Source organism: Homo sapiens, chromosome 3, assembly GCF_000001405.40.
Source record: "Homo sapiens chromosome 3, GRCh38.p14 Primary Assembly".
Taxonomy (NCBI): domain Eukaryota; kingdom Metazoa; phylum Chordata; class Mammalia; order Primates; family Hominidae; genus Homo; species Homo sapiens.
Window position 1 is genome coordinate 61032050 of NC_000003.12, and position 13302 is coordinate 61045351.

A 13302-nucleotide genomic window follows, 5' to 3' on the forward strand; every position below is an offset into this window, starting at 1 on the left:
GAGATTTTAGCAACCAAATTATTACCAACGTCAGTGATTGGAGTCCAGAACTGGAGCTGCTTTGATAGTTCATTCGTGTATTCCTTCATTCATTCAACAAATATGTGTTGAGGAACTCCTACAGGTAAATAATATTCTGTCTGCTAAAAATACAGAACTTTACATACAGTAAACTTGTCCACATGAAACTTAAAGTTTCAGTTTTAACCTCCTCATGGCTCCCTCTTGGAGCCAGGAACCTTCCAGAGCTAGGAGACCTCAAGAGGTCTTTCATGGATGGGAAGGATTCAGAGACTGTTTTAGAGTGATAAGGAACATAAGGTGTACTACCAGAAGGTGAATCTTCACAGGGTAAGAGGTGTATGTAAGCAGTAAGTTTTATATTCTCTATCCTGAAGCCAGAGCACCTAAGAGCTTCTTTCATTTCCCTCATCCACCCACAGAAGTCACCCCTAAGAACTGAAGCATTCTTCATCCCACCTCATTTCTGGCACAGCAAAACCAGAAGGAGCAGGGAAAACACATTCCCAGAGGCCAGACATATTAAGATACTGGAAGTAAGCAAAGGGGCTAATAGACCTAAACAATCAGCTTTGGGGAAAAGAAGATCCTCTCTGTTGCAAACAGAGCTAAAAGGAACAGCCTAGAACAGAGCCTACAAGCCAAAGACAGTATATTAGCCAGGCTTCTCCAGAGAAGCAGAACCAATGGGATAAATGTAGATATACAGAAAGAGATTTATTGTGAGGGATTGGCCCATGCCATTATGGAGGCTGAGAAGACCCACTATCTGCCATCTGCAAGCTGGAGGCCCAGGAAAGCAGGAGGTATAGTTCCAGCCCAAGCCCAGGGGCCTGTGAACCAGGAGAGTCAATAGTGTAAGTCCCTTTGGATCAAAGGCCCAAGATACAGGAGCTCTGATATCTGAGGACAGAAGAAGATGGATATACCTGCTCAAACAGAGACAGTGAATTTGCCATTTCTGCACGTTTTGTTCTATTCACGTCCTCAAGAGATTGGGTGATGCTCAGTCGCCTTGATGAGGGTGACTTTTACTTAGTCTGCTGATTCACATGCTAATCTCTTCCAGAAACACCCTCGCAGACACACCCAGGAATAATGAGCATATCTCTTAGCCCAGTCAAGTTGACACAAAATTAACCATCACTTGTGTCCTGCCACGTATTTTTGTTAACAAAGCTTTACTGGAACACAGCCAGTTATTTGTTTACATATTGTCTATGGCTGCTTTTGATATAAATTCTACTGTCCAATATAGTAGCCACTGGCCACATAAAATGTGCCTTATCCAAATTCAGACATGGTGTAAGGGTAAAATACACACCAGACCTCAAAGACTGAGTAGGAAAAAAACTGTAAAATACCTCATCAATAATTTTTTATATTGATTACAGGGAAAAAACTAATATTTTTAATATTTTTGGCTAAGTGAAATATATTATTAGAATTAATCTCATCTGTTTCTTTTTACTCCTTGTAATGTGGCTACTACAAAATGTAAAATTACATATGGGGCTTACATCTGTGGTTCACAGTATATTTCTATTGGACAGCCTGGCACAGAAGGAAAGACTCCAGTATGTATACAGACCCTGGAGACAAGTTGAATAGAAAAACTCTGTTCTTACTCTACCTTCCACTTTATGTCTGTTTTTAATACTCCAACCCCAGGTCTTTCTTTTAATAATTATCCTAAATTAACAAACACACAAATCTGAAATTCTTGCAGGTCACTATTGCTGAAAATTCAACAGAAGAAAATCTGTGTATATCAGAATTTCACACAAAGATGGGTCAGTGGCTGGGCTGCATAGTGGATATTTGCTGCCTACCAACATTCTTTCTACTATAGCAAGACTCTAAGCAAACTCCACAAAGGAGACACTCTGAAGTTTCATGATCTACATAGATGCTCAACTAAGGTACCAAGTCATTTAATGAAGAAATAATAATCTCTTCAGCAAATTGTGCTGGAACAACTGAATAACCACACATGCCAAGAATAAAGCTGGACCCCTTCCTCACACCATATATAAAAATTAACCCAAAATGGAGCAATGATCTAAATATAAGTGCTAAACTGTAAAACTCTTTGAAGAAAGCATAGGGGTAAAATCATTACCCTCACATTTGGCAATGAATTCTTATATATGACACCAAAAGCACAAGCAACAAAAGAAAAAATAGATAAGTGGTACCTCCTCAAAATTAGAAACCTTGGTACATCAAAGACATTATCAAAAAAATGAAAAGACAATCTACAGAGTGAGAGAACATATTTGTAAATCATATATTTGACAAGGGTCTAGTATCCAGAATATACAGTATAAGAAATTCTTACAACTCAACAACAATAAAAACAAACAAACAAAAACAACAAAAAAACCAGGTAATGGGTAGAGGACTTTAACAGACATTTCTCCAGAAAAAACATGCAAATAGCCAACAAGCACCTGAAAAGATGCTCATCATTAGTCATTAGGGAAATGCAAATGAAAACCACAATGACATGCTACTTCACACCTAATAGGATGGCTATTATTTTCTTTAATGGAAAATAACAAATGTTGGTAAAGATATAGAGAAACTGGAACTCTCCAACAATGCTGGTGGGAATATACAGTGACTTAGCCACTGTGGAAAATAGTTTTGTAGTTTCTCAAAAATTTAGATATGGAATTACCATGTACCCCAGAAATCTCACTGGTAGGTATATATCCAAAAGGATTGAAAACAGGTTCTAAAACAGGTACCTGTGCATACATGTTCATAGCAGCACTATACACAATAGCCAAAAGGTGGAAACAGCCCACTTGTCCATCAACACCCATCAATGAATCAAAGGATAAGCAAATTGTAATATATCCATACAATGCAATATTATTCAGCCCTAAGAAAGGAATAAACTTCTGATACATCTTATAACCTGGGTGAACCTTGAAAACATGCCAAGTGAAAGAAACAAGACACAAAAGATCATATATTGTATCATTCCATTTACATAAAATATCCAGAATAGGTAAATCCACATAGATAGAATACAGATTGGTGGCTGACAAGGGTTTGGGGAAATGAGGAGAAGCTGCATTGAAATGAGGAGTTTTATTTTAGAAGGATGGAAATGTTTTGGAACTGGATAGAGATGATGATTGCACGGCACTGTCAGTGAGTTAAACGCCACTGGATTGCTCACTTTAAAATGGATTTTTTGTTATATGACTCTTATCTTAATAAATTTTTAAATCATATATTTTTTGCATTTCACATGTCACAATTCTGATCTTTTAAATGTAAAATACATTTTACATTACTTAACTATTTCTAGTCCTCACTTCTCCTCCAAAAAAATTACATTACAGTTGACACTAGATTTTGTTAAACTACCCAAAATTTACTTTGCATATATCCCTCTTGTGCACAAGTTAGTCAGAATTAGTTTCTGTTGTTTGCAATCACATAACTTTAATTGATATGGTACCTTAGTATGTCAGTCAGGGAGCCTGAGGTCTAATTCTAGGTCTGCATCTAATTAGCTGGTAATCTCGGGAGAAATTATTTAAATTAGCTTGGCTTTAGCTTTCTCATATGTAAACTGAAAGGATTAGACTAAATTATTCCTGAGGGTTTAAAATTCCATAAATGACATAACATCTCCTTTTAAAATATTATCCAAGAAGAAGTAATTGTCAGATAGTGATGATGTGACATTTTTTCCAGTAAAAAGTAAATTTGGAAGGTAGGCCCTGCTTTTACTCTAGTTAGTCCCTCCACCTCACTCTTCTGGCTCCTCAGTAATGTTTAGCATGCATATTCCAATAGATAAAATCCCTCAAAGGTGTTCAGTTTCATTTCTCTGATGTGAAAGGGCAAATCAAATGAAATGGTTAGAGACAATGCTCAAAATTTAAAGCTGTATCTAAGTTTCCCAACTCGATTAGGCCATTCTTACATTGCTATGAAGAACTACCTGAGACTGGGTAATTTATAAAGAGGTTTAATTGGCTCACAGTTCTGGAGGCTGTACGAGCATGGCACTGGCATCTGCTCGGCTTCTGGGGAGGCCTCAGGGAGCTTTGACTCATGGCAGAAGGCGAAATAGTAGCAGGCACTTCACATGGGGAAAGCAGGGGCAGAACAGAGTGTGGTAGGTTCCACACACCTTTGAACAGCCAGATCTCCAAAACTCACTCACTATTGTGGGGATAGCACCAAGGGACTGATGCTAAGCTATTCATGAGGGATCAGCCCCCCCTGATCTAATCACCCCCTACCAGGCCCCACCTCCAACACTGGGGATTACCATTCAACATGAGATTTGAGGAGACAAAACATCCAAACTATATCACTAACCGAGTGTTCAGATTGTAGTATAGAAACTATCCAAGGGCACTTCAAATGTTCCTCTTATCATTGAAGGGGCTGAACAATAATTTGACCCAAAAGCTTGGCATTCTGCTTTTACTAGACTAGGCTGGTATTATAATGACCTTTCCTTTTGAAAAACAATAGTGGTTTCTATCTGTTGTCTTGTAAAGATGAGTTTTATATTATTAAGAATAATAAAAGATTAAAAAATGTTTTAAGCATTTCATCCAGAAGCTACAAAGCATTATGTTGGGGAAGTTTGAGGAGTTTATTAGGTCAATCTAGGCTCTAATATACTCAGATTATTGATTTAAACCGGTGAGCACAATAAATCACACTGGTCATGGAGGTGGCACCAGCTGAAAGTGAGAACACAGATCAATTACCCGAGAGTTCTGGGCTTTCTCACTGACTTGCCATTAAAAAATTACCTTCGTGGTTTCACCTCAAAGATCAGTCTGCTTTGTTTTTTTTTTTTGTTTGTTTGTTTTTTTGAGATGGAGTCTCGCTCTTTCGCCTAGGCCGGAGTGCAGTGGCACTATCTCCGCTCACTGCAAGCTCCGCCTCCCGAGTTCACGCCACTCTACTGCCTCAGCCTCTCGAGTACTTGGGACTACAGGCACCCGCCACTGCACCCGGCTAATTTTTTGTATTTTTAGTAGAGACAGGGTTTCACCGTGTTAGCCAGGATGGTCTCGATCTCCTGACCTCGTGATCCATCCGTCTCGGTCTCCCAAAGTGCTCGGATTACAGGCGTGAGCCACCGTGCCCGGCCCAGTCTGCTTTTTTTATGCAAACTTTGACCGCTTAGAAAAGCGCTACAAGACTGGAGTGGTTATGCTTGGCTCTGGTGTCAGAGTGCTTGGATTCTAGCTAAAATCCACCCAGGGAGTGTCGCTTAACCTTATTTTCTCTCCGTTTCCTCAACTGTAAAGCAAGAAAAATAATAGTGTTTCCCAAAGCCTGGCACATATACCACTGGGAGTATACCAGATGATATTAGATGGTACATGAGTGGTTTTCTTCTTCTGTTAACAATTATGTGTTTAATTCCCAGCATATTAAAATATATATAATTAGCACATCAAATGCTATGGTTTGAATGTGTCACCCAAAGTCCATGTGTTGGAAACTTAATTCCCAGTGCAACAGAGGTGGGTCCTTCAAGGGGCAATTAGGTCACGAGGGCTCTGGCCTCATGAATGAATTAATTATGTTATCAGAGAAGTGGGTTAGTTATCACCAGAATGGATTCCTGATAAAACGAATGAGTTAGGCCTTTTTCCCTCACTCATGTGTGCATGTCTTTTATCCTTCTGCCATTGGATGACTCATCAAGTAGGCCTTTGCCAAATGCAGACCCTTGATCTTAGATGTCCCAGCCTCTAGGACCATGAGACAAATACATTTCTATTCATTATAAGTTACCCAGTCTCACATATTCTATTATAGCAGCACAAAAGGGACTAAAACACCACACTAAAATTATTGCGTAGGACAAATCTAAGTCAAGGAAAAGAAGTGCGCTCCAAACAGTCCTAGTCAGTCAGGGAAAGTTCTTTACAGAAAAAGTCTAGTTGACAAATGGAAAATAATTAACAGAATTAGAAATCATGATTTTTGCAATTACTTAATGACATAATTGATTTAAGTAACAATCATCAATTGAAGAAACAATCACATGAAAAATTAATATGGAACTTTAAAATGGAATAGTCAGTCTGTTACCTGCCAAAACCAATGATGAATCTCAGCTTCAATAAAACAGGTTCTGAATAGTGGATGCTTCCTAATAAACGTAGTAAAGACACCCTCTGCAAAGCATTCTTGCCAAAAACATTTACGTTAAATCAAATTTAGAGACAGCATCCCTTAAGAAAAAATAAGAGTGGTGAAGGAACACATTAAAGAAGAGCATATGAAACCAGAATGTGTGACTTCCTACAGAACAAAAGATCCTGCTTCTATAACAAGTCTACAGTGGGAATGGAGGCAGGATTTCTCTAGGTTAAGAGACTTAAGGAACATATGTAATATAATGTTTGAATTTGTTTGAATATGAAAATAAGGAAAAACAGTAAATGACATTTTCAAGTCAGTTGGGGAAGTTTCAATGTGGAGCTGGATTAGACAATACCAAATAATTACTGTTTATATTGCTTGATATAATAATGGCATTGTGCTTAAGTACAAAAATGCCCATATTTGTTACAGCTGCATTCTGAAATACATCAGAGTAAAGTGAAGTGATGTCTGCAATTTGCTTTAAAATACTTCAGAAGAGAAAAAGAAAGGAGGGGAGGGAAAAAGACAATATGAAGAAAATGTAGTAAAAATCTTGATGATTATTGAATCTAGGTATACAACCTGCTTGATAATTTGCAGGACCCAGAGCAAAATAAAAATGCAGGGTCTCTTATAACTGCTTAAGAATTTCAAAACAGTGACAGAAGAACCAAATAACCACATTAAACCAAATGTGGGCCTTCATAAGCCATGGGCTCTGAACAACTCTCAGGCTGCATGCACATGAAGCCTGCTCTATGTGTTAGATAATATGGAAATTAATTGCACTATTCACTCTACTTGGTGCATATTTGGAAAACTTCCATAATAATTTAAAGGGGATCACTTAAAAATATATATATATAAAGTAAAGATTATATGAGGAAATAGCAAAAATCAGGAAGGCTACAATTGGCCGCAATTTCCAAGATACTGATGTAATCATGAAAGACACTCAATGTGGTGCCTGACACACAGCAAATGCTCAGGTTAGCTCCTACTACTGTTGCTACCACCAGCACTACCATTTTGACAAAGACTACCCTTGTATCTAGTAAGAAACATGAACGTTTTATAGAGATTACTACAACAACATTTTACAGAAAGGTTACTTTAGACATCGTGAAATCCTTACTGGGAGATCTACTTATATACAGAAAGTCTTACAATTCTTACCAATATTTCTGATTGTATTTTGCTCCCTTGTGCCCTATATTCTTTAAAACTTGCGAGGGATTTCCATCAATGACAGACTGGATAAAGAAAATGTGGCACATATACACCATAGAATACTACACAGCCATAAAAAAGGATGACTTCATGTCCTTTGCAGGGACATGGATGAAGCTGGAAACCATCATTCTCAGCAAACTAACACAAGAACAGAAAACCAAACACCACATGTTCTCTCTCATAAGTGGGAGTTGAACAATGAGAACACATGGACACAGGGAGGGGAACATCACATACCGGGGCCTATTTGAGGGGTAGGAGTCTGCGGGGGTTAGCATTAGGAGAAATACCTAATGCAGATGACGGGTTGATGGGTGTAGCACCCACCATGGCACATGTATACCTATGTAACAAACCTGCACATTCTGCACACATATCCTGGAACTTAAAGTATAAAAAAACAAACAAACAAAAAAACTTGTAAGGGATATCAACTGTGGGCCACAACAGCACTTAGAACAGAATATTATTACTAACTTGAAGATTCTTCTGAAAGCCAGACTCCTCTTTGTAATTCAAGTGACATCACTTACAGTAGCAAAGAAAGAGCATCAGAATGAAATAAGTCCTTGTGGGTCTCAATCATGGTGAATAATACTGTGGTTTTTCTTGAATGAGAAAGGGCATTTGCAAACCTCAAAGGGGTTTAACGAAACCTTACTCTCCCCTTTAAATGTCCAAATTAAGCTTCTTTGGAATAAAACCTTCTCAAAAGAAAGCAAATGTAAAAGTTAGATTATTGTATATGACCTAAAACATTTGCTGAATCACAATAAACACATACCAGCATCTACTATAGCCTGTTACCTAAATCAAGTTTCACAGACCCAGAGAATTCCTCCGCCTTATTTTGTTTTTTAAACATTGGATTGAAAGTACTATTGAGGATCAGCATGATCAGTGCAAACCTTATTTTGCACAAAGAGCAATTTAGGAAAAATGGATAAGGTGATAGGCCACCAATTTATTTGTCTATCCAGAATGATAATGGTTTTATTAAATCCCTTAAAGAAAGATGAATTTTTATAAGCTAGACTATCTAATTTGTTAAATAGCACATCAATCTGAATATTGTCACTGTTTTTTAAAATACTCTAATGTTAATATTTTGGCATGTTTGAATTGAGGCAACACAGAGTTTTCTAATCGTTAATCTTTAACTTGATGAAGGGATCTACACAGAATGAAGCAGACTACACACGGCCCAAGGGTAGTGGAGATGTGTGTGGTATCTGTTGCTTCTATTAAACATTTGCACATGAAGCATGGGTATATGCTAGCAGAAGAACACTTTCAGACATCCCATCCCTATTCAGTTATCCTTCAAATCATATGGCAACAACACAATAAGAGCCACTTATACCTTATTCCCCCGATGGAAACTCTTTGCCTCTTCAGAGAGCCCATAACCAGCTGAGGGCCCAGGCCTGACTGGTAACCCCTCAGGGAGGGAGCATGTCCATAAATCAGCAATATAGCAGAGATGGGGCTTCTTATCCTTGGCAGCCATTTTCCCTGCCTCCCCTTCCTCCCCTAGGACATCCCCTCTCTGCCCTGGTATGCATCTTGGACACTGGATGTCTCAACTCAGTTTAGAACTTACTAAAACAAGGTTTAATAACCTCATATTAAAATTTTCAAGACTGGCTGGGCACGGTGGCTCACACCTGTAATCCCAGCACTTTAGGAGGCTGAGGCAGGCAGATCACGAGGTCAAGAGATCGACCCCATCCTGGCCAACATGCGGAAACCCTGCCTCTACTAAAAATACAAAAATTAGCTAGGTGTGGTGGCACGCCTCTAGTCCCAGCTACTCAGGAGGCTGAGGCAGGACAATCACTTGAACCTGGGAGGCAGAAGTTGCGGTGAGCTGAGATCACGCCACTGCACTGCAGCCTGGTGACAGAGCCTGGCTCCATCTAAAAAAAAAAAAAAATTTACAAGACTACCGAGAATCCGCACCTCCTAAGAAATGGAGATCAAGTCTGTGCGAGTCATCATTCCTCTTGGGTCTCTTGATTTATCTATCAATTAGCAACACTATTTGACCTTCTACCTATGTGTGATCATGGATATTAATCAGCCCTTCTTTTTACTGATATAATTCCTACTTTTTCAGAAATCTGACAAACTCACAATTGCTGATATCTACCCTTTCCTCCTTACGAAGATAGAAATGCCCATCTATAATTTATAGACAGGTATGATTCCACAATTTAAAAAATAAAGCAAAAAAAAAAAAAATCCGCTCAACTCAAGGCTTATACATCACTGATTCCCTCAATGCCCTTACTTGGAAAGCAGTAATTCTTTTGAGCTAATAAAATGCATGTTATGAACCAGAACAATACCTTAAAGATATAACAAAAGTAATTATGATAATAATGAAAAAAGTGAGAATTTCAAAATCTTTGTGTAGTTCTTGAAAGTATAGTGCAGTATAATGTGAGAACTGAAGGCTGTTTACCAAAAATTCATATATCTCTCCTTCTAAATATTTATTATTTTTGAACAGACCCGCTTGTGTGGCCAGGTGACTTTAGCCAGTGGCATATGTGCCAATTCTGTTAAGTATTTTAAGAAATGGTTTTACCTTCTTTCTCTTTCTCTCCCTTCCACCGTCTGGATGTAGATAGCACTACGGACCTAGGGAAAGGCAGAAACACAAGATGGGAGACATATGAAATATCCCAGGAAGAAAACTCTTTTGCAGAAGCACTGATACCAGACTCTTACGTAAATGAAAAAAAACTTCCATTTAGTTTAAGCCATTATTACATTTTGGAGTCTATAATGCTAAAGCAGCTAGTATCACCCTGGTTAATTAATGAAGTAAATTAAATGGTTAAAAGCATATAACCTACCTGGGACATCTTGTAGGGCAGTAAGATGGAAGTTAAAGGACAACAGGATTGAAACTTAAAGTGTTCAAAGATGAAATCATAAGCAGTATGGAACCTCGGAGGTAAGTTGGGGTATAAAAGAAACAAAACTGGCCATGAGCTGATTATTTTTAAAACAGAATATGGGTATATGAGAATTGATCACATATTCTCTCTAGTTCTGTATATATTTGACATTTTACACAATAAAAATTTAAACAGGCAGGGTGCAGTGGCTCACACCTGTGATCCCAGCATTTTGGGAAGCTGAGGTGGGCGGATCACTCGAGGTCAGCCGTTCGAGACCAGCCTGGCCAACATGGTGAAACCCTGTCTCTACTAAAAATACAAAAAATTAGCTAGGTGTGGTCGTGGGTACCTGTAATGCCAGCTACTTGGGAGGCTGAGGCAGGAGAATTGCTTGAACTCAGGAGGCAGAGGTTGCAGTGAGCCAAGATGGTGCCACTGCACTCCAGCCTGGGTGACAAAGTGAGCATCTGACTCAAAAAAAAAAAAAATTAAACACTTTTTTTTAAAAAGTAAGGATACCTGGAGTTCCCACTGGCCTAGGAAGGGAATATCTGAGCATCAAAAAGGTTAAGAACAGAAACAAATTAAAACATACAAAATTTTTTTTAGAACAACAGGGAGAGGTTCCAAGATGGCCGAATAGGAACAACTCCTGTCTACAGCTCCCAGCTTGAGTGACGCAGAAGACAGGTGATTTCTGCATTTCCAACTGAGGTACCGGGTTCATCTCACTGGGGCTTGTTGGACAGTGGGTGCACCCCATGGAGTGTGAGCCAAAGCAGGGCAGGCATTGCCTCACCCAGGCAGTGCAAGGGGTCAGGGAATTCCGTTTCCTAGCCAAGGGAAGCTGTGACAAATGGTACCTGGAAAATCATAACAACCCCACCCTAATACAGCACTTTTCCAACTGTCTTAGCAAATGGCACACCAGGAGATTATATCCCGCGCCTAGCTCGGAGGGTCCCACGCCTAGCTCGGAGGGTCCCACGCCCACGGAGCCTTGCTCTCTGTTAGCACAGCAGTCTGAGATCGAACTGCAAAGCAGCAGTGAGGCTGGGGGAGGGGCATCCATCATTGCTGAGGCTTGAGTAGGAAAACAAAGAGGCCCAGAAACTCAAACTGGGTGGAGCCCACCGCAGCTCAAGGAGGCCTGCCTGCCTGCCTCTGTAGTCTCCACCTCTGGGGGCAGGGCACAGCTGAACAAAAGGCAGCAGAAACTTCTGCAGACTTAAACGTCCCTGTCTGACAGCTTTGAAGAGAGCAGTGGTTCTCCCACCATGGAGTTTGACATCTGAGAATGGACAGACTGCCTCTTCAAGTGGGTCCCTGAGACCCAAGTAGCCTAACTGGGAGATACCTCCCAGTAGGGGCCGACTGACACCTCACACAGCCAAGTACCCCTCTGAGACAAAGCTTTCAGAGGAAGGATCAGGCAGCAACATTTGCCATTCTGCAATATTTGCTGTTCTGCAGCCTCCACAGGTGATACCCAGGCAAACAGGGTCTGGAGTGGACCTCCAGCAAACTCCAAAAGACCTGCAGCTGAGGATCCTAACTGTTGGAAGGAAAACTAACAAACAGAAAGGACATCCACACCAAAACCCCATCTGGACGTCACCATCATCAAAGACCAAAGGTACATAAAACCACAAAGATGGGGAGAAACCAGAGTAGAAAAGCTGAAAATTCTAAAAATCAGAGCGCCTCTTCTCCTCGAAAGGAACGCAGCTGCTCGCCAGCAAGGGAACAAAGCTGGATGGAGAATGAATTTGACGAGTTGAGAGAAGGCTTCAGACGATTGTTAGTAACAAACTTCTCCAAGCTAAAGGAGGATGTTCGAACCCATCACAAAGAAGCTAAAAACCTTGAAAAAAGATTACATGAATGGCTAACTAGAATAACCAGTGTAGAGAAGTCCTTAAATGACCTGGTGGAGCTGAAAACCATGGCTCAAGAACTACATGACACATGCACAAGTTTCGGTAGCCAATTCGATCAAGTGGAAGAAAGGGTATCACTGATTGAAGACCAAATGAATGAAATGAAGTGAGAAGAGAAGTTTAGAGAAAAAAGAGTAAAAAGAGATGAACAAAGCCTCCAAGTAATACGGGACTATGTGAAAAGACCAAATCTACATCTGATTGGTGTACCTGAAAGTGATGAGGAGAATGGAACCAAGTTGGAAAACACTCTGCAGGATATTATCCAGGAGAACTTCCCCAATCTAGCAATGCAGGCCAAAATTCAAATTCAGGAAATACAGAGACGCCACAAAGATACTCCTCGAGAAGAGCAAATCCAAGACACATAATTGTCAGATTCACCAAAGTTGAAATGAAGGAAAAAATATTAAGGGCAGCCAGAGAGAAAGGTCCGGTTACCCACAAAGGGAAGCACATCAGACTAACAGCGGATCTCTCAGCAGAAACTCTAGAAGCCAGAAGAGAGTGGAGGCCAATATCCAGCATTCTTAAAGAAAAGAATTTTCAACCCAGAATTTCATAACTAGCCAAACTAATCTTCACAAGTGAAGGAGAAATAAAATCCTTTACAGACAAGCCAATACTGAGAGATTTAGCCACCACCAGGCCTGCCTTACAAGAGCTCCTGAAGGAAGCACTAAACATGGAAAGGAACAACCAGTACCAGCCACTGCAAAAACATGCCACACTATAAAGACCATCAATACTAGGAAGAAACTGCATCAACTAAGAAGCCAAATAACCAGCTAACATCAAAATGACAGGATTAAATACACACATAACAATATTAACCTTAAATGTAAATGGGCTAAATGCTCCAATTAAAAGACACAGACTGGCAAATTGGGTAAAGAGTCAAGACTCATCAGTGTGCTCTATTCAGGAGACCCATCTAACATGCAGAGACACACACAGGCTCAAAATAAAGGGATGGAGGAAGATCTACCAAGCAAAAGGAAAACAAACAAACAAAAAAGGCAGGGCTTGCAATCCTAGTCTCTGAT

General features: G+C 39.8%; 1 protein-coding gene across 8 annotated transcripts in view, besides 1 other annotated feature; it reads right to left on the reverse strand.

The window, feature by feature from the left end:
• The window catches only part of FHIT (fragile histidine triad diadenosine triphosphatase), a 1504176-nt gene that overhangs the window by 1284773 nt on the left and 206101 nt on the right, over nucleotides 1-13302 (reverse strand). For all 8 annotated transcript variants that reach the window (NR_148921.2, NR_148922.2, NM_001354589.2 and 5 more), the window contains one exon: nucleotides 9998-10050. The gene's annotated coding sequence lies outside the window, so the exon portion shown is untranslated. The remainder of the gene's footprint in view (nucleotides 1-9997; nucleotides 10051-13302) is intronic.
• Nucleotides 9654-10853: an enhancer, noted in NCBI's record as "MED14-independent group 3 enhancer chr3:61027375-61028574 (GRCh37/hg19 assembly coordinates)". NCBI's record gives its function as "activates an origin of replication core promoter dependent on BRD2, BRD4, P300/CBP and CDK7 cofactors, and independent of MED14, by STARR-seq in HCT116 cells {active_cell/tissue: HCT116}" and the evidence as "EXISTENCE:reporter gene assay evidence [ECO:0000049][PMID:35650434]".